At 36.2% G+C, this 23,312-nt stretch overlaps 1 protein-coding gene across 20 annotated transcripts in view; it reads right to left on the reverse strand.

Moving 5' to 3' along the window:
* KLF12 (KLF transcription factor 12) overlaps positions 1-23,312 on the reverse strand; it is a 619,957-nt gene that overhangs the window by 201,359 nt on the left and 395,286 nt on the right. The gene's annotated exons all lie outside the window — the stretch shown is intronic.

Raw genomic sequence — 23,312 nt, forward strand, 5'->3', positions numbered from 1 at the left:
AAAGAGCTTGGCCCTTCCTCCTCTCTCTTGCTCCTGCTCACCCCATGTTAAACGGCTACTTCCCTTTGCCTTCCACCATTACTGTAAGGTTCCCAAGGCCCTCACCAGAAGCTGAGCAGATGTTGGTGCCATGCTTCTACCATGAGCCAATTAAACCTCTTTTCTTTATATTAATAGATTGCCCAGTCTCAGGTATTTCTTAATAGCAATGCAAAAAAAGCCTAATATAAAAGGTATCTTCATTTTTAAAAAGGTTCATTTTGTTCACATGGTTTTACAAAAAAAACACACAAATTATTCCTGTTCATCTGAAAGTACTTTAAAATCTTTGTAAATTCCAGAATAAGCATTTGTCTGATATTGGTCAAGTATTACCTCCATGAATTTAAAAAATGATTTCTGAAAACAGCTCTCTTAGGAAAACCAGTATAAAGGATTACATGACAGGAAGTGATTGAATACATAATAATATGATGCTCTTTTGTAAATCTGTTTTATTTATACAAAAGAAACACTGAATATTGATCATTGTATTTATGCGTCTGATTAAAAATTTCAGAATTTTTTTTTTTTGAGATGGAGTCTCACTCTGTTGCCCAGGCTGGAATGCAGTGGTACGATCTTGGCTTACTGCAACCTTTGCACCCTAGACTCAAGCGATCCTCCCACCTCAGCCTCCCAAGTAGCTGGGACCACAGACGTCAGTCACCAAGCCTAGCTAATCTTCTGTATTTTTTGCAGAGACAGGGTTTCGCCATGTTGTCCAGGCTGGTCGTGAACTCCTGAGCTCAAGTGATCTGCCTGCCCTAGCCTCCCAAATTGTTGCAATTACAGTCCTGAGCCACCGCGCCCGGCCACAAAAACTTTCTAATTTCTAAACAAAAATACTTCAGACTGAAATAACTTTAGGTTACTTCTAATATTTTTATTACAATAGTCCAGCTAAGTCATTAAGACTGTGTTTTGATTATGAATGCTTTTGGTGAAGAAATTAGATATTGCTGCTATTTAGAGCACTAAAGACAACTTGTAGCATGTATAATTCTGCCATTCATTGTTTCATAAAAACTTTTATCAGCAAAACAATATATTTTCTTCATCTTTCATCTGTGTTAGTTAAAAAGAGAAGGTTATTGTGCTTCAGTTTCTTAAAAACAATATGGTAAGTAATCATCCAAAAAAATAAGAAAAAGATATATGCACATATCTTATTGGGACTGTCACAAAAGAAACAACAATTTTACAGAAAATAAATGTTTTTATGCTTTATAAACCTTTCTTACAAGAATGTCATTTGAAAAGGAAGAAATCTCATCAGATTTTAAGGGAGCTGTGAATACTCAAAACTTGATTCTTTGCTCTATCTGCCGTGCTTCATGCTCTTCCTTTATTGTCAAAAAGCTTACCTATGGAGGCTCCACTGCATTTGGGAAAGTCACTTAAGTCACTCCACTGCATTTGGGAAAGTATGGTCAACAACTGAAATAGCAATAAAAATGCTAGAACTGTGTTCCTATAAATCTCCTACAGGATAGTAACCACACTGATTTTGTAAGCTAATGGGATTTTACAGATTATTTTAGATCCAGACTGATTTATGTAGACTTGCCAACATCTCTTGACATCTTTAGTCTTCTTCTGTTATAATTTCTGGTAGAATCCACGGGAGTGTGTGTGCCTCTCTCCTTTTAGAAGGGGATTGGAGAGTTGGGTAGAGACACAGAAAGCCAGAAAACATAGGCAGAAGATATATGTACATATAAGATATTTAACATTTATATACAAAATGTCTATATAAAATATGCATGCATGTATGTATATGTGTATGTGCATACATAGCGCCAATCTCCATTTTATCTATGTATATATTCCCTTTGCAGTGACTTATAGCACTAGGGTCTAAGTTCAAATTACACTAAGTAGTATTCATCATACTGTCTTTGAACACCTGGAGTAGGCACTTGCAGTAGTGTGTAATGTCTACAATGTGGGAATTATTACGCTCACTTTGCACATCAAGAAATGGGAAATCTAAGAGGTTAACTTTCTTTTAAAATATCTCACATAAATTTAGAATCTAGCCAATTATTCTTTTTCTCAATTACCAAGTACTGTGACTTTAATACCTGACTGCTAAGAAAACTCAATGATAAATGTGTGATGTAAACTAAAAAACTCATATTTTGAAGGACTACTTTTTACCCAAAAGGACCCAAGAGTATCATTACATTTTTGGCACATTTTATATATTTTTAAAGTATAAGCAAAGATAATGCAAAATAAAGGGCTAACAGAGTAAAAAATTTAGAAAAGTTGAACAAGCACAAAATAAAATTTTAAAATATTTAAGCAAAATGCCATTTGTTTAGAATATTACAAAATAAAAGGAACTAAATATAACCATGCTTTTCCAAACAGTAGGTGGTGAAGGTGTCTTTCTAATACAAAGTAGTTCTGCATTTTTAAATAAAAAAAGAACCTTAAAGCTGAATTTTGAAGCCTACTCTTCACAAAATGTCCTCTAAGTAATTATATGACTAAATTACAAATATTATAAAGCTATGATAATTTGATTTATGAGGCATATATTGACCTTAATCATATGTGAAAATAGAGAACACACAAGAACACCGTCTTTAAACATGCCCATAGTAGGAGCATATCTGGTCTTATTTGTAGTTTATTATTATCAGAGCAATAATTACTGATTTCCTCTGATTTTCTCCCACCCAACACTGTATTCCTTATTTTCTGCCTGACATAAATATCAAGGAGCATGGACTTTACAAGCTTTATTTTGGGCTATATTTCAAAAAATTATTACCAAAAATACCTCTTTCTTTCAAGTAATGAAAGTCAGCCTTAAAAAGTTTCTGTGTGTTTGTTTAAACTTTCTGACTAGAAACCCCACTCTTCCCATAAAAACAGCCAAAATAACAGACATTGATATCAGGATTATCCCACGAAAGAAATAATCCTTTTTATCTCACTGTTATTTTAAAAAATCACCTTACATACTTGTAAGTGGAGTTATTTTCATATAATTTTAAACGATAATGATTGGGGGAAATCATTTTAATTTTCTAGTGAAAGCTTTAAAAAATTAACAGACACTTAATTTAATGGATTTTACTATGTTGTTAAAGTTTATGCAAGGCCATTGGTTTAGACCAGCCTCCTGCACTAGGCCCCAGCAGACTAGACCAAATCAGAATGGAGTCACCTACACTAAGTAACATAATCAAACCTATCTTGAAAGAGATAAGTTTAAAAAAAAAAAATAAAAGATTCCAGTCAATCTGAGTCTGGGTAATAAGTCTCCTCTCTTTTAACCCTATAAGGAAAGTAAATTTGAAACGACCAACCCACTCTTGGTTCTGTTTCTGCTTTCCTTAGTCCTTTTCTGCCTAGAAAGCCAACTACCTCTCTTAGTTCACTGGAGCCCTTGTGGTATTTTAAAGAATAAGGTATTGGCATTCTAAAATTGCAAATAAAAGACAAATTGATCTTCAAATTTTGCCTTTTGAAAATGGTTTCTCCTTAAAGAACAAATGTAGAAGAAACCAGTCATTTTACACCTTTAAATACTATGCAATGTTGAAGATTAAAAAAAATACAACTTCTTTTCACCTTAATAAGACTAAAGACACAAAGGATAAAAATAAATATTTTCAAAAGGAAGCAGAAAGCAGAAAATATTGTTCTGGAACAGTCTAACATTAGAAGTAATGCACATATACATATTTTTTCATGAGTATGGGTAAGTCAGCAAAGATTTTAAAAATAAACTTCAGCCAGAAAACATTTTTATATTAAAAGTCTAATGTTATTTAAAATATATTTTCACATATTTTAGAAAATGTAGATTTCTACTCATACCATTGCTATGCAGATAAAAATTCCACTTGTTTAGAATGACCCAGATTAAGAACCATCTCCTCTCCTCTCAACAAGTTGAATACATTAACATTGGGACAAATGAAGGTCACTATTCAGTGTTTTAATATTGATATATTTAGTAACTCAAACACCTCTGCCTTAAAAAGAATGTTAAAAATGAAATGAAGGTCCAGAAATACAGTTTTCAAGAATCATGGAAAACAACAAGTTCTGGACAAGCACACTTTCAAAATAATTGTAATCAAGACTGGTTTGGGAAGAAAACATTGCTAAGCTAATTGTGCATTTTCTTGCCTTCTTAACAAAAATGGAGATACTATCAACTCTTTCTGGGTAGGTATACTGTTTATATACCTCAATTTTTGTCTTCTTCTAAAGATACAGTTGGTGCTGCATATGCAGATGACAAGAACAGAAATTGGTAAACTACAGTTTTCCTATAACTTTTATTTCTAAAGAAGTTTCTGTTGACAGTTTGCATCTTTGGATGACTTATCTTTATGAGTAAAGCAGAAAAATGTACAAACTTGTAAATAATATAATTATCTCCGAACAAAAAGTAACATTGTATCAAAAGCCAAAGTAATAATCTCCCAAGAGGTCACCAACCTTCCAGAAAACTGCTTCATCACTACTGCTGTAAATGATTGACTTGTCTATAGCATTCATTGACAATATTTTTTTTTTTCTGTGTTACTACAAGTAGCTCCTTCACAGCAAGTATTTATCCTGGGGCCCAGTTTGTTGTTTTAATGGTATTAACTTATGAATTTCAAGACTCTAGATTTGGGCATTTTAAGAAGGCCTTTTTAAAAATCTACAAATTCTTCTTCATCATCAGAAATCTCTCCTGAACTATTGTATAATCTGAATGGTACTCTGGAATAACAAATGAAAATAATGGGACAACAATGGAAGGCAAAGAGAGTAAAACTAATAAGAAATAGTGATCTCACTTTTTTAGGATGAATTCTAAACTCCTAGAGCAGTAGAACAGCATTACTGTTCTCAAGAAATAAAACTGACGTTGAAAAGAACTTTTAGTAAAGATTCTTAAAAACGCTAGAATCAAATGTCCACATATATATTCATTTGTATTTGAAAGGTATAGACATTTTACCACCACTAAGACTTTATCTACTCTAGCAGGTATTTAAGTAAAATAGGAACGTATAAAAACCATGGCCAAAACAAACAAACAAAAAACAGTTAAACTCTTATTTTGCTTAAGGTTGACATCTGCTAGTATAGAAATCTAATGGCCATCAATAAGGAATCTGACAAACTAGTATCCATACAACAGAGTACTATACAGCTATTAAAAAGAATGGCATAGAGTTATGGATTGCTAGAGAAAGACATCTAAGTTATTCTTTTTAGTAAATAAAGAAACTGAAAGACAGTTTTTGCACAGCAACATGCAATTTGTGTATTCGTAGTATATGCACAGACCACTGTCTCAGTTACAATAAACCATTTACTTTGCTTATATTTGTGGGAATAGAGGTGGGTAGGGTGAAGCTACTACTCTTTAACCATAACTTACTTAAAATTTTTCTTACCACAATAATACATTGCTTTTGTTATAATAAAAAGAAATAACATAAATCAGCACTCTTATGGAAATGTAAATGTGTTCAGATAATACACTATGTTCAGAGGCAAGAGCTTTGAAAGAGAAAAAAAAAAAAACCCTTTTCTTATTTCCTATTCTGCTGACTGATTATCAGCCCCCAAAGCAGGCTTTCTAACATCTTATTTTGAAAAGGCACTCTTTCAAAAAAATCCTTGCCCCACACCTCCGCAATGCTTTTCCAATTAGCACTGGGTCAGAGAGAGGGGCACCTTCAAATCTCTTTTCTAATGACTAAATAAACACAATCCATGTGATCTAATTTAATTATGTGTATGGTGTGGCTCTTCTCATTAGGTTTAGTTGACTCAATTTCTGCCAGTAATTTGATCAGTTCATTTTTTTTTCAGTCTCATTGTTTTAGAATGCACTCAATCAACAATATTGACTTTTTTTTTTTTTTTTTTTTTTTTGAGACAGAGCCTCAGCCTCACTCTTTCGCCCAGGCTAGAGTGCAGTGGCGCGATCTCCACTTACCACAACCTCCGCCTCCCAGGTTCAAGTGATTCTCCTGCCTCAGCCTCCCAAGTAGCTAGGACTATAGGAGCGCGCTGCTATACCTGGCTAATTTTTGTATTTTTGGTAGAGAAGGGGTTTCACCATGTTGGCCAGGCTGGTCTTAAACTCCTGACCTCAGGTGATCTGCTCGAGTTGACCTCCCAAAGTGCTGGGATTACAGGCGTGAGCCACCATGCCCAGCCTAATATTGATTGTTTACTGTGTGCCAGATATTGTTCTATACAGATTTTTTTAAATAAATAAAAACATAAATGTGCTTGTATAATTCACCATCCAGTCAAGAAACAGGTGCTGTGCTGGGTAGGTAAGTAGAGGAAATTTAATGCAGACGGCAATAGAGCACAGCAGTCAAAACGGAAACAGGGAAGAAGCCAAGATTAGCAAGAGCAAATCCAAAAAGCCACTTTCATCCCTAGAACTAGAAAGACCAAAGGAAGAGACAATGTTATCAGAATTCAGGGCTGGCTCCATCAGAAAGGAACTAGAACAACAAGGGCTCTTAGGAGCTGGCTAACGAGCAAGTAACTACTGCCAAAAAAGGCTGCCCGAGTTAGTGAGAGACAGGGGAAGATGGGTCCTGGATGCCCCACTCCTTTAGCCTTTGTAGTTGTCTGTCAATGCCTTCCATTGGCTGAACCTACTTGGAGGCAAGTGAGCAAGCAGACGGGACATAGTTTGCAGAGGGGCAGGAAACAGATAAAGCAAGGAGACGTTTAGACTTCAGTAATGATTAGCATTTAAGCTACTCAAAATCTATAAAACTTTTCGCTCTCAAGATGTCTACAAACCATGCACACCAATGTATATGGGTACATATACTTGGGACACCACATTCACAATGAAATGATGCCCTGTAAGTAAGATACAGAGTGTCATCTTTTGAGCCTGCAGGGATCTAAGAGAGTCTCCTAATCTCCCACCAATATCATCTACTTTTTTATTCTTTTAAAAATTTCTCTCCAGGTAATTCATAAGAGGTTGTCACCATGAATGCCATTATATTTTTAATTTAGTTACTGATGGAGCATAGATAATATTATTTACTTTAGCACGCCCACTCTACTAAACTCATCATTTAACTTAATCACTTTTTTCTCTCATTTGAGGTATTCAATCAATTTCTCTTAAGCTAATAAAATGTTCATTTCATTTTATTTAGTACTTTTTGTATCGCATATACACACTGAATAGGCTTTTCTAAAACAAAACAATAATAATGATTGTGCTAGGAGGTTGTTGGCTTATCTTCTGATTTTAATGAAAATTCTTTTGACTTTTTCCATTAAATATACTGTTGACTATGGGAAAAAATACCCAATCCGCTTTTAAATAAGTTCTATTTTTTAGTATTTTTATAAGGAATAGCTGTTGAATTTTGTCAAATGTCAAAATTTAGTGAGAGGATTATAGAGTAATAGTTCTTATTTATCAACGGATTTCCTTTTGATTCCTTCTTCTATCTCTGTTTTCTCTTAATCCTCCTATATTTCTTGGCTTATGTGGAAAATGTCTTGGCATTATATAATAAAGCCAGCCAACAAACGTATTTCTTTCTTTCTTGCTGGGTATTTCCATTTATGAACCACATAATTACAATCTGACTTGAATCTGTGGTTTCCCCAACACACCCCCTGTAGATTCATCATTGCTGGATAAATAAGTTGCTTTTTTGCTGCCAAATCTATGTTTTTAATTCAGTTTCTAGATTCAGAGCTGTTCTAGGTGGCTGAGGTTATTGTCTAACTTCTGAGTGACAGAAGATTTGTATAGATACATGAGATCCTAGAACGGCTCCCTTGGAACACTTTTGCTCTCACATGGTGAAACCACAGTTAAGTAGTTTTTCCAATGGTGTGCTTTAGTCTCTAGTCGTCTTAAGGATAAGATCTCACCCTGACAACCAGGCAACACTGTTCACATCACATAATTCTCTTGTGTACTTGGTTTGGGTGATGGAATTTTTCATATATGAAATTATATTTAAGACCTGAAACATTAGAAAAGTAAAATAGGTGCTCTGATCTATGCCAGTCCTCGTATCTTTATAGTGGGTGGTTAGTAATGTTGACATTGAAGACAAGGGTTACAGGGTGAATTATGAACCATATATAAAATAAAGAGTGGGCGGCACTACACAGGGCACAGGAGGAAGGTCAAGGATACATCAGGGAGAAATGAGTGACAGGGAGCAATAAAAGGCTGACCTGACTGAGATGGAGGGAATGGACAATAGGTAGTTTGATATTAGATTAACAAGTTTTGCAGACCTAAATCAGAATTTTGATTATAACCAATATTGCAATGAGAAATCACCATGGAATTCTTTTTTTTTTTTTTTTGAGACAGAATCTCGCTCTGTCACACAGGCTGGAGTGCAGTGGAGTGATCTGGGCTCACCGCAACCTTCGCCTTCTGGATTCAAGTGATTCTCCTACCTCAGCCTCCCTTGTAGCTGGGACTACAGCCGCGTGCCACCACGCCTGACTAATTTTTGTATTTTTTAGTAGAGAGAGGGTTTCACCATGTTGGCCAGGCTGGTCTTGAACTCTGACCTCAGGAGATCCACCCACCTTGGCCTCCTAAAGTTCTGGGATAGAAATCACCACAGAATTCTATAAATGGGAAGAATACAAAGTGATGCAACAGAAGATGGGGTTTTGAGAAATCAGGTCCCAAGTATACTTCACATTCAAAAGAAGATACTAAAATCAAAAATAGTTGCTATAAGGCAAAACATGCTGGCTCTTTCATGTTCATGATGACTCAGATAGTAGATTATATTGAACAGTTAGTTGCCAATTAACTAGCTTTAAAATTTTGGATGAGAAACAGTTTCTAATGAAATTAAACTGTCACACTGAGAATGAGATTTTTTTCAAAAGCAATGGAAATGTAGGGGACTTTCTGAATGTCTATGTGCCAAGCAATACGCATTCTGAGGATGATGGATGAACCCTGCTACAGTGTCAGGGAGCCTCCAAGTCTCTGACTGAGACATTACAAAAAGCTGACAGTAAAAATGTGGTATATTCAGCTTTATCTATGAAGGAATTGTTAATAGAGAAATCATTAGAGCAGCATAGTGAGGTGTGATAAGAGTTTACATCCCCATCTAATTCATTTCTTCTTTGAAGCATTTTTAATATGTAATAAAATTTCTCTGAATCTAGGCTCTCTTCAGAATTAGCAATTCTCTTCACATTTTGTTATTTAACCTAAAACCTAAAAACTCTTTTTGCCCATGGAGATTCATTAAATCCATACATTTGGGCCCTAAATGATAGACTCACTTTTTTCTTTTCTATACTACAAAGCCATATAATACAATGGCTTTCTTGGTTCTCTCCAAGAAAATGATAGAGATGAGTATTTGGAACGTTGAAGACTTTCCTTTTATTAGTTCTGTGTTTTATTATCCTAAAATTCTAAACTCATAAAAAGTTCCTTTCCTGGGCAAAGTCTTTGTCATATTTTATATCTGGTTTCAAGAGGCAACAGGCCGGCAAAACTAATGGTGACTTTCAGATCTAGCAAGTCTATCTTTGGTTTGGGGGTCACATTTACATACACCCATACTTAAGCTCTAAATTTGTTTCCCATGGCAAAAATGACCTTATCATTTCTGAGTTATAGTGGAAGGAGGGAATATCAAATTTACAGCATATTGAAAACAGTTAATAAATCCCTCTGATGAAAAATTTAAAAAAAAATCTGCCTCAAATGAAAACAGTTCACTTTGCTAACCAAAACACACTACAGCTCAGTATGAGTGCTGTTTCCTTATTTTTATTTTGAATGAACTAACAGCTTTGGTAATAAATTCAGCTTCCCAAGCGCAACATGCATCTACAGGCCAGACATCTTCTGATTTGTCAAATCTCTATTTGACATATCCATGTTTACGACCCTTGGGCCCTTTGGATCCCACTCAGGTGGAACTAAATCCATCAGCTCCCCCATCCGAATCAGGTATTCCTCCAGGGCTCTCTATTCCAGTATAGACCAATACCAAACGACGTGGCATTCCAGAACAGAAACTCCTGCCTCATTCATGTCTCCTCCTTTTTCAACCCCCAAATTCTGTCAGTCTTTAAATGTTGGCTATTTCATACCCCAAATTGCTCTCTAATTTATCTATTTCTCTTCACACCTGTTACACATCCCTATTCTAAGCCACCATCATATATCACACCTGGATTAATGCAATAGCTTCTTAACTGATCTTCCAGGATTCCTTCTGCTTCTTCAATCTATTATCTCCCAATAACTATCTACTTATCAGCAATCTTTCTAAAATACAAATCTAATGATGCAATGCCTCTATTAAAAAATGTTTTGGTTGTTCTCCAATTATTTTAGCATCACTTTCAAACTTGTCTCATAATGTGGTTTCTGTTTATTCCTCTAAAATCAATAAGCCCACTCCTATGAGCCCCTACTTGCCCTATTAGTTTCAGATATTCTGAACTTTAAGTTCTTCAAGATTCTACATTCTCTGTTCATGCAGGGGTCCTTGTAAAGATAGTTCCTGCCAGGGTACGCTCTTCTCCCTCACTACACTCACCTGCCTAACTCCTGCTTCTCCTTCAGGCATCTACATAGATTTCACTTCCTCTAGGAGAGATTACTTACCTCCAAAACCTGAAGTATTCAGCCCTTCTTAATATATATTTCCTATGACAGCATTTCTTTTCATCTTACCAAAAATCTTTCTCCCTTTTGTATGATCTGTGCCTGTGACAAAATAAACTCCTAACAAAAAATTCAAGGGTAATTAACCGATGTTAAACAATGATTATCAGGTCAATAATCTTCAGATACAAAGGACAACATTCTCTCTCTCATTTTCTTAAAGAAAACCTTATTACAGGATACTTGTAGAATGTTTCCTATTAAATTTGCCCACTAATCCAAAGCTGAAGACAGAGATAACCACTTCCTATTTAATGACAGTCATAAATATCTAGGGCCAGACAATTCCCTCAGGGCTTTTTAAGATGTGGCTAAAAAAGCTCTCCTACTTACAACCTTCATCCAAGCCTGGCCCACTTATTAAGTCCATAATGAAAAAACTGGAGAGAAAAAAGAGTGAATCATGGAGTCATGTGTCCTCTGTCTGGGATGACAGGGTGGGGAAAGGAGGTGGACAAGGAGGGGCTTACCCTAACCAAAGGTAAATGGATAGGTCCCAATAGAATCTCTCATAAAAATGACAGTACGCCCAAGAAAGGGTAACTTACTATCTCAGTCCTTGACTGGACACACATTTACACAATACTCCTTATTGATTATCCTTCCATTTATCCAAAAATGAGAAAAAAGAAATTACAGACCAACAGGTAATGAAGGATGGACGGGTGAGGACACAGCCCACACTCCCTCCTTACGGCATTACAATGGTGTGAGAGTCCCATGGATTAAGGGACACTGCAGAGGAAGCTGGCTTGTACCCTACAAAAGTTATCCAGCCATGCCAGGCAACTGCAGCAGAAAGAGGCAATGAAGTGTGATTCTGGTGGCAACAGTGGAGGAAGATGGGGTAAACAAAAGTCATGCCATCACCAGATGTCTGACATCAGGGAATGGATGCTGCCCAGGAGGCCCCCCAGTTGGGGCCACCCCCCAGGAAGGGGGCTGGAGTCATGGCCACTGGGAGACTGAACACAAACACAGCTGCCCTACTTTAAGAGGTCCTCTAAGAAGGTGGAATAAAAGCAAGCATGATCTATATGGGAAACACCACATCACTAAGGCCACCAGCAGCAAGAACGAGACCAAGCCGGACCAGACTATGAAGTGTATCTCATTGCTGCCTTCTCTCCCCATATCCGTCTGTTTCCACCTAATGGAAGGAGGGGAAGTAAGTGACTTGGAGGACAATAATCTCTCAACCCCAAAAAGCACACCCCAAGATGAGAAACAGAAAGCTGAATCTGAAAAAACAGAATATATATTCCCTCCCCTGAGCTATGTGGAAAAGCTTAAAGTTGGATATGAGGCTTTGTGATGGTTACTGGCTTAAGGAATATGCAGACAGCTGGTAAAAACATTTTTCTGGGTATAGCTATAGGGGTGTTTCCATGAAAGACTGACATTTGAATCAGTGGACTGAGAAGGAAGATCCGCACTTATCCAATGTAGGCAGGCACCATCCAATCAGCTGAGGGCCCAGACAGAACCAAAAGAGAGAGGAAAGGTAAATTTGCTCTGTCTTCTGAAACTGGGGCACCCTTCTTCTCCTGCTCCCAGATATCAGCACTCCAGGTTCTCTGGCCTTTGGAACTTGTACCCCAAACCCCCAAATTCCCTGGTTCTTGGGCTTTGGGACTTGGACTGACAGTTATACCACTAACTTACCTGGTTCTCCAGCTTGCAGACAGCCTACTATGAGACTTCACAGCCTCCATCATCACAGGAGCCAATTCCCCTAATAAAGTCTCCTCTCATATATGTTGTATCCTATCGGTTTTGATTCTTTAGAGAGCCCTAATGCAAACCTGAAGAGTGAAACTAAACTGAAAGTTTTTCGTTAAATAGACAAAAGTCACTAGTAAGTTATAGGAAATACTTGAGATGTCAATAAAGAAAAGGAAGATAGCCCTATCAGACTCATGAAAAGTATAAAATCACTTCACGTTTATATTAATACTTTAGCAAGTTCAGGTTATTCAATAATCTGACTGGAGATCCGGTCGTCATAAGGGATTTAGCATACAAGAAAATTAAATTATCCAAGGAAGACAATGATTTGCTAGAGTAGATGAGAGTTGGTATCTAATTAGACCTCCACATGTTAAAGAGAAAATTCATTTAAGCCATTTCATAATACTCAATATACAAAATCATTTTGTTGCAAACTACTTCCTTTAAAATAAATTTATTAATTGCTAGTCACAATAACTAGCAGTCACAAAACAGGTGTCCATAAAACATGAGAATACATCCTGAATCTTTTAATACATTTTTTCAGTACATTATAGCATAATTTTAAACATCAGTGAAATCAATTTATTCAGGACTCTACATATTATGGAATGATTACATGGTTTCCAAATATGCAATTTCATTATTTCTCATGAAAAATCCCATTAAGTACATAGAATAACTGTGAAACTCCTGTATTCTCTCATTTAAAAAAAAAAACTAATCGTGCATAGTAAAAAAATTGTTTCTCCAACACCACAATTGAAATTGCATTCTTGAAAGAAAGTGAATTCATTCTGCTGCCAAAATTAGTCAAATGTCTACATGTTTTTCCTTTAACAATAACACTGTATTGGCTCACTAGATGTATTCCTCATGACTATAAATGGAGGAAAACAATATACTCCTCCACACACATTCTCATCAGGGTTACATTTTTGTGGGCCCGTCTGCTTTAAATTTTACACCAAGAAAAATCTTGAAAGTTCTGAGTTCTAGTTTTAAAACCAGAAGATAAATTCTGAATCATAGACTGTTAGCCTTTGGAAACCACTTCCAGGGTAACTTAATTTCAAGACGATTTGATAGGAGTGTCTTTTTCTTTAAGAGAAATAGACCTCTGTAAACAGTCAGTGCATATACACTAAACTCATTTAACATACATGGGTCACTCTTAATTGTGTTTTTGTGTTGCTGTTTATGTTGTTTGTTCAAAAACTTCATCCACATTCAGCAAACATCCTACAATTAGCTACGACTTCACCTACAGAGACAAGTAGCACAATGTCAGGTTCCTAATATTCCTTTGAAATTTACTTCAAAGCTGGGCTAAACAAATCAGTCAGAAAGCTTCAGCCAAGTAGTCCACCCACATTCAACCTTTTTCTACCTAATGATAATTACAGTCTGTAGAACAGGCAGTCTCTAATAAACAGCATCAACTTTAGAACACAGATGTCTGGAGGGGCCTTTTTGTTGCCATAGAAATATCTTCAGTCCACCTTGTCCTCAGCACTAAACATTATCTTTACATTAGCCTCCTATTAAGGGTGTGTGTGTATGTGTGTTGGGCTAGATTGGAGGTATATATTAGCCCAAATTATAGGATTGCTCACTCTGTCCTGATGGTTATAAATGATTGTGGTCCTTCATTCTAAAAAAAAAAATCCCCAAAATGGAGCACACAAATCTTCCTGGTGACAGCAGCCCCTGACTAATAGGTTCTTGCTCCCTTGGCTCAACTGAAAACTTCCCTAATGCAGCAAAGCAATAAAGATCAGCAAAGAATTCTCTATGTTCCTTCTCTCCATTCTAAGCTCCGGAGGTCAGTGGCTTTCTAAAGTAAAGGTATCATCCACAGTTGTAAAACAGGAAAATAAATCTCATTATATCAACCCAAACATGAATGTAATTTGAGAGTCATTAATTGAGGGTAGGGATCTAAGGGACTGTAATCCTGTTTTATGATTATCTTAAAGGTTGTTTTTAAAAGAATCAGATGAACTTCCCTGAAGCATACAAATGGCTTAAAACTACAAATTCATTTTACATAGCCATAAATACTTTTAGTGGAAATATTATACAGTTTGAGACTATAGGTACAAAATAGAACTGATTCACCTATAATGCTTATAGTTTAATGTGCTGATTTTAAAGGCCATTTAAACAGAAAATCTTAACATGCATAAAGATAATTTAAAAAGGAAAAGAACAAAAGTGTAATTACTTGGACTTTTATTATCCCAAAATACATACGGTGTGTCAGAGATTAAGTAAGGACAGAAAGACTGAAGAACAGTTTTAGAAGGGTAAGAGATTCAGAAACTGTACAGGAGAGTATAAAAAATGTTTTAATGCTCAACTATTTTGAGGCAGGCATTATATTTCTCAGTCATTTTACACACCTAATTTGTTTAATTCAAAAATGCCAGACATTGCAATTGGCCTTTTGACATAGGTTATCTCAACTATTTTTTAAAAACCATCATGGGAGGAAGTGGCATTAGAATATCATTTCCATTTTTATAGAAGCGGATACCAAGCTTAGGAAGATTAAGTGACTTACCCAAGTTCACAGACGTGCTTACTGGGCTGCCAGGAAGTGAAAATGATTCTAATTCAATAGCTCTTTCCAGAACTGCATTACGGCATGACTTTAGGTGTTACTTTATTTAGGAGAATGGTCGCACTTACACAAAACATTCTAAAGTGTTCTTTAGACAAACTTTCTCAGCACACAGTAATAATTCACTGTTAAATCACAAATCTTTAATGTTCCCTCTATTCTTTTAATTTTCAAAGATAATCCCTAATTGTATAAGTACTAAATATCCCACTTCACTTTCAATGAGGTAACTCACTGAGGTGACTTTCAATGCAATGATTTAAAGTTCCGTGTTACTTTCAATAAGATGATTGTAACTAGGATTGCTGAAAGTTTAACACAAGGAGAAACCTAAAAAAAATTCTGTCCAGCAACATGACCCTGAGTTATTTGGTTAATGCCATTTCTTTTGGAGAACTGCTGAGACATCTATCTGTATATTCTCCATTAGTTTATCTAATAGGACACAGCTGGTTTATTCAGATCAGTTCTCCTGTATGTGGCACTGATAAATTATCTTTATAATTATTTTGACAAAAATGTTGGCCCACAAATCAAGACATTATATTTTTTCATCTGGGTTACCCCAAGTTTTCATGTAATATGATCTAACAAAAGATATCTTCTCACTTGGCTGGTGTCTAACTGATACATTAATTTTTTAAGCAATGCTGGTTTTTTTTAAAGGTCTGTTGTCTGTGTGGCATCTGTGTGTGCCAGAACATGCTGTGATAGTGATGAAGTGATCTTCATATCAAGAGATGGGCAATAAACACTAAAATTAACCACCGAGTCTAAAGTCTTATTAATTATGGCATTCCACAAACACATAAGGCTGTAAGTAAAACAGTACAAGGGAAATAAAAGGGAATGACAAATTTGATATAATATTTGGAAATATATTAAAAAGACAAAAACCTGGCTATCTTTTCAGGATATTCATTTTACTATGAAATTTAGTAGGATTTGTACCTAAAGCCGAATTCAAGAATAGAATTGTATACTTACTGGTAAATGTTTATTCACAAATCAAGTCATACAATTCTCAAAAGGTAGATCGCCTAAATTTTAACAATTGGGTGTGTGGGAAGGTTCATGCCCTAGAAGTATCACAATCTTCAACTACTCTTGAACTCAATCTACAACAGAATCAAGCTAAAGATACAATACTGCAGGGGTCCCCAATGGCCCATGGCCTGTTAGGAACCTCGTCGCACAGCAGGAGGCGAGTAGTGGGCCAGTGAGCCTTTCTGCCTGAGCTCCACCACCTGCCAGCTCAGCTGTGGCACTGGATTCTCATAGGAGCGGGAGCCCTACTGTAACTGTGCATGTGAGGGATCTAGGTTGCATGGTCCTTCCGATGATGTGAGGTGGAATAGTTTCATCCTGAAACCATCTTCCACTCCCACACCTTTGGTTCCATTCTCGGAAAAATTTCTTCCATAAAACTGGGCCCTGGTGCCAAAAAAGGTGATGACTGCTGCACTAGTGAACATGAGGCAGCAGTTGGCATCAAGGATGACCATAATCAGACATTTTTAAAGACAAATACAACATGGGCAATCAACAACCTTTGGGCAAACCTCTGGAAAGCAAGGCTAGCAATGGAGATATAACAGCTCAGAAATAGGCAATCGTGACTTTCAGATTTTAAAAAGTCACATTTAAAGGATTTACCTGTTAATTATAGCTATTAAGGATCCCCTAATAAAATCCACTACCCGACACGTCCTAGCACAAGTGCAACAAATTTGTTTTCTGGGATGTATAGGTTGATTCATGTAACAATCATTGCCCAAAAATCTTTTAAGTTCTGTTCCTTGGATGGTTTAATCTATCGTAAATGCAATTTTCATTGGAGAAGAGAGAATAATGTGCTATTTCTTATTTACCTACTTCACTAAGAGATGGAAAGACAGTTTCTCATGTTTTCTTTCTTTCCTTTTTTTTTTTTTTTTTTTTTTTACTAATTCAGTTCATTTAACTTTGCCTCCAGCAGCTCACCATAAAATTTGGGTCCAAAAAGGCCAAGGAATGTATTATCAGAAATGTTAGCTATCTCTAGGAAAATCTGTCATTCATTTAAGTGATAATCTTTAAAATTAGCATAACTATATTCTGGATCATTTTATTACGAGACTATCATGTGATTTCAATGTCTGAGTTTATTACCATTGTACGAGCAACATGCTAAGTTACAACTGTAACTCCCAGGGTTGGTTTAGCAGGAAAGTGATGGAGGCAGACTTAACAGTGATGCGTGTAGTTCAGCAAAGGCCAAATGACAGCACTGGGAGCCATAATGGTGGTTTCCTAGTAATTCAAACAGAGGAAAGTAGCAAGAATACACTGATCTCAGAATACCAGGCTTGTCAGACTAAAAAATCCTGTGCTTTAACAGTCAGTGGTTGACAGCAACTTATCCTAAGCAAAAAAAAAAAAAATCATCTAAAACAGATGTCATGGTAATTTCAATTTTATAGCTTTCTGAAGTGTTGATTCTATTTAATTTGCATGTTTGTTTTGTTTTCATGGCTGTATAAAGACCTATTACACAAGAGTTCAAAGCCTGTTTTTAACATATACTTAATCTCATGCAATATTATAAGCCAAAAAATTAAATATGATTTTAGAGGTATTCTATTCAAGATGATTTTTCCCCTTTAGAAGGACCTATTCATTACTCAAATTTAACCTGCAGTTTACCATTGCTTCTCTGTTATTCAGTCACCTATAACTTTCAAATTATTGTTTTACTTGTAAAAGGCTTTTAATCTTTCCTGCCAAGCTAAAATCTGAGACAGCGCTAACCTTTTTTATGTTCATGGGGCTCTGTTGAAATATGATATCATCATGGATAATCACTGCTAAATTAATCACCTAGGCAAGTAATAGTACAATAACTTTACAAATACACAATTCAGAGTGAACCCAACATATCTTAACCTAAGTCCAAGAATCTCCATGAACATTATTTCTTGTTCTCTTGCCATTGTTAATTTACGTTTTAAAAAAAATCAATTCCAGAATTTAATTCCCAATTACTTTAGTAACTTGAATTAATTTAGTAACTTCAGTAATCTGGATTTGTACTGTATTGTTCCCCTTATATCATTGCAGTACACACATAAAAGCAGATAACATGGTGAAATACTGCACTGAAAATAATCCTTTAACTCTGGATATATAATAAAATTTTGTTAATGTGCAATACATTTTTTTTTCACATGAAACATCCATCAGAAGTTTTTAAATGTTCATGAGGATGGCTTCTCTACTTGAAAGTTTCATTTCAAAATGCTATTATTCCTCCAAACTTAATTAACCTATCTAAAACCAAACAGATATCTTTTCCTCAAATTACTTCATTTCACCTTCCCAACTCTTCTCCATGCCTGTGTTGTAATCATAAAAACCTAGAATGCAAATGGCTGTTTGATTTCTTTTCCTTAATATCAGATCATTCATTTGATTACACTGGAGTTTGGTTTAATATGTGTATTGATTGCCTTTTCATCATTACTCCTGTATCATTCATCCAAGTCATCAACTCTCACCACAACGATTGTGACCAACTCTTAGCTGATGTCACCAACTCCAATTTTTTTAGTCCCCCAAATGCTCTAAAAGGAAAAAAATACTAAAATAGATTTTTTGACAGATACTCTAATATTCATATTTTTGTTTATCCTACTTGGGATACTTTGTACAACCTGAATCTTGGAATTTGCATGTTTTATTAGTTCATAAAATTCTTAGACAATATGCTTTCAAATATTGACTCTCCTTTTTCTCCTGTGGGAAGTCTGTTAATACAATCTATCATTTTACATTTCCATTTTCCTTTGTGTGCTGCCTTCTGGGTAATTCTTACATATATTTTCCAGTTTACTAATTCTCTTTAGCTGTGACTCACCTGCCTCTTAATCTATTCCATTTTTTTATTTCTACAATATTTCCCATTTTTAGAGGTTCCATGTGGTTCTTGTTCAGATCTTCCTGATTACTGTCAACAGTTTTTCATTACTTGCTCACTTTTGTGGTTCATCTTTTATTTCTTTAAATAAGTACATACAGCCACTCTATCTTCTATGTTTAATAACTCCAATATCTGTAACTCCTTAAGTGTTTAAATTCTCAGTTTCATTGCTTTGCCTAATTCTCACATATAATGTCCTACCTCCTCATCAAGTTGGTGAAAAATGATTGTGACCTGCCTGATCTTAGTCTGTTAAAATCCTGGAAACATACAATATGGATTCTAGCGAGGGGATTTCTGTCTGCTTCTTCTGAAAGTCAGGGTGCTACTGACTTGAAAACTGTTTAGCCCATCTCAAAAGGTCCTACTTTAATCTGGGTATCTCAGGTTCAAAACTTTCCTCCTTATTACTTGCCCAAATCTAGGTATTCAAATAGTGATGTTTATATACATTGGTCCTCAGAGCAATCACCATTACAGTTACCAGCTCTGATTAGGGCTCATCTGTTCTATTTTGGTAAGGGGGACAGTAGAAGCACATTTCTTCTAAGAGATTTTCCACTACTTAATCCCTGCCAGTATAACCCAAATTGTGTTTATCAAAGATATGGTTGTGAAAAGATACATCATTGAATGCAAAGTCCATATTATTTTCTCAGCAACATCAACCTGTTAGTCTCCATTATAAAATATATGATGGCTCTTTATTCATTGGAGCATATTAACCTCCCCTGCCTGTTGGTCAATAATCTGTTAATGTCTTATGTCTACCTATGGTGCCTCCAGAAGCCCCCTTCTTCCCTCACTGAGCCGGCCTCTTGATGGTTCCTCATGTTCAATACATATTCTGCCTCCATTCATACAGCATTCTCCACATTTAGACTATCCTATCCTCTTTGCTCTACTGATCTAAATTCTGCCTACTTTCAAAACCCAGCTCAGACCCACTTTCCTTCATGTAACTTTCCTAATTCCAACATTTATTTGTCCACTCTCCTCAGCTCTCAGTCTTCTAAGCTTAACACAAAATGATACTTAATTAAGAAATTCAAAAAACATGAAAGATCCTTATAGGCCACCTATTAATATTTCAGTCCCCAAATTCAAAATTAATCAAGACCCAGAGTAGTTAAGTAACTTGAAGAAGGTCATCCAGGTGTTAGATGGCACAGTTCATCCTGGCATCTGGTTCCACAATGTCAGTGCAGGGCTCATTTTAATTGATACTTCACTGGTCTTTCGACACTTCTGTTATCCCCTCTGAACATGATCTCTGCATTCAAGGCTTCCCCTCACAGTGAAAGCCTAAGTCATTACAACGACCCACATGATTGACCCTCTCCCTTCCTTCTAGCAAACACCAACCTCTCTGGCCACATCATCTCCCACATCTCTTCCCCTGGCTTTTCTGCCTCAGACACAATGCCTTTTTATTATTCCTCAAACACAGAAACACACTCCTCCTTCAGGTCTTTGTACTGGCTGCCCACTTGCCTGGAATGAGAATAGTCTAGATTAACTGCCTGACTTAGTCTACTGCATCTTTCAGGTCTTGGTTCAATGTCTACCTATTAGAAATAGGCCTGAGCATCTAATTAAAATATTAATGCTTCCGGCCAGGCGCAGTGACTCAGGCCTGTAATCCCAGCACTCTGGGAGGCCGAGGTGGGTGGATCACGAGTTCAGGAGATCGAGACCATCCTGGCTAACACGGTGAAACCCTGTTTCTACTAAAAATACAAAAATTAGCTGGGCATGGTAGTGCGTGCCTGTAGTCCCAAGCTACTCGGGAGGCTGAGGCGGGAGAATCGCTTGAACCCAGGAGGTGGAGGTTGCAGTGAGCCGAGACTGAACCACTGCACTCCAGCCTGGGTGACAGAGCGAGACTCTGTCTCAAAAAAAAAAAACAAACAAACAAAAAAATTAACCTTTCTGATTAATCTTTAACCCTCCTAAAGGTTTTCATTTTCTTTTTTTCTTTTGTTTTTTTTTGAGATGGAGTTTCGCTCCGTTGCCCAGGCTGGAGTGTGATGGCATGATCTCGGCTCACTGCAACCTCCACCTCCTGGGTTCAAGCGATTCTCCCACCTCAGCCTTCAGAGTAGCTGGGATTACAGGCACCCACCATCATGCCCGGTTAATATTTGTATTTTCGTAGAGACAGGGCTTCACCATATTGGCCAGGCTTGTATTGAACTCCTGACCTCAGGTGATCTGCCCGCCTAGGCCTCCCAAAGTGCTGGGATTACAGGCGTGAGCTACCGCGCCTGGCCGGTTTTCATTTTTCTTTACAGCACTCACCACTGATATTTAGTTGTTGATCTCTATGCTATCTGCCCCACTCCTCAAAGAAATAAGTTCATGATTGTCTATTTTATCCCTACTCCCTAAAACAGTGCCCAGTACATGGTAGAAGCACAATAAAATATTTGATGAATGAACAAATCAATGAATGACAACACGAGGTACAGTTACGTAATGCACAGTTGGCATTGTGGCAATGGCCAGAGTATAAAGACCATACAGAGATCGCCCTTCTCCAGTAGTGCTCACGGTACAGGAGAAAATGGACAACAATACGTACTTGCTGATCAACAGATGCAAGATTTATACATAAGATCTTTCAGATAATTACAAAATCTTTTGAAGGTGCACCTAAAAGATCACCTTCTAACCCTCCCAGCCCAAGGTATCCAAAGTAAAATTTGCAAAGTCTTCAACTAGGTTCCGTTTCCATACTACCAGTGGCCGAGCATAAAGCACTTGTCAGAAAGAGGACCTCATTTTTCAAACAATTTGACTAGTTAATAAGTTTTTGCTTCCTCATATATTCCAGTTTTGCCTCCGTATAACTTCCAAAGTTTGTACTAACTCTGCCTCCTGAAGTACACATGATGAAGCATACAACATCAACAATAAATCTTTCAAAAATCTGAAAATCTGTTGTCTTTTCACATATATGCCTGTTCCTCTGTGGACTAAATGCTTTTTGTTACTTCAATGATGCTTAATATGGGATGATTTTCAAATCCCTCACCATCCTGGCCACATATACCTAAACAGATTGCTCATTTTCAGAATAAAGTATGTTGCCCTCACAGGACAGACATAGCATTTCCAGCACAAAGTCAAGGGAATTTTAATAACTGTGATATCCAGACAGCCATTCATCAATCTACATATACCAGGCATCCACTAGGTCCCAACAAACTTACGTTTGTTTAAAAACAAAATTTTTATAGGCGCATTTAAATATCTATTAATCTTCTTGGTGTTAACTTCATTCAGTCCACACTTTTCCATTTTGTCCAAATAGCTTAAGGGAAACATCTTTAAATTCTTTGGTTTTTCTTGATCTACTATTCCAAGAATCCTCTCAATTTGGTTATTTTGTATATAATCACCCTGTACGTGTACATTTCTATATAATTTATAAATTTTCTAATTTTATACTTTCAAACGTTATTTTTTTTGGACACATTTAATGGCTCAGCAATGTGAGCAGAACAGAATTATTAGCCTCATTGATAAATTGATATGCAGGAGCTCATAGAGATTACAGCAAGTTAAATGTATAGCTGGAAATAAATTCCAAGCCTTTTGATTCTTCATTTGTACTAAGTCTCCTCCACTGGCCCACCTTCTGAGCAGGCTTTATTTTTTCAGAAATATTCATATTTGCTCCAAATTAACACAATCTATTTAATATTATTTTCCCCAGAAAAAGTTTGGAAATTTTAAAATTCTGTAGTGTTTGAAAGTCACATCTTTGCCCTATTTTGAAGGTGTAATATTTGATAGAACTAAAAGCAGGCTTAATCCTGCTTTTAGAACTCACGTGTTCTAGTACTCAAATGCCTAAATATATTTGGCAAAATTTTGTAATCAAGTCATAAATGTAACACTATATAATAATCTTAAACTACAGATTGTTCTGCAATTTGTCTTTATTAAAGCAACTTGAATCTTAGCCACAACATTTTTAGGTAGTGGAAATTGTGAACTATATAGCAATGAATTCAAACTCTTGACCCTTAAATAAAAAACTTTATAAGATAAATAGTTAAGAGGGGTAGGAGAGAGAGAATGGTTGTTATCATAGGATACAAAGTTTTAGATAACAGGAATAGGTTTTGAGATCTATGGCACAACAGGCTGACAATCATTAATAATAATGCACTGAATATTACCAAATAACCAGGGGTGCTATGGTTTGAATATTTGTCCCCTCCAAAACTCATGTTGAAATTTAA

This window comes from Homo sapiens, chromosome 13 (assembly GCF_000001405.40).
Source record: "Homo sapiens chromosome 13, GRCh38.p14 Primary Assembly".
NCBI classification, from domain to species: domain Eukaryota; kingdom Metazoa; phylum Chordata; class Mammalia; order Primates; family Hominidae; genus Homo; species Homo sapiens.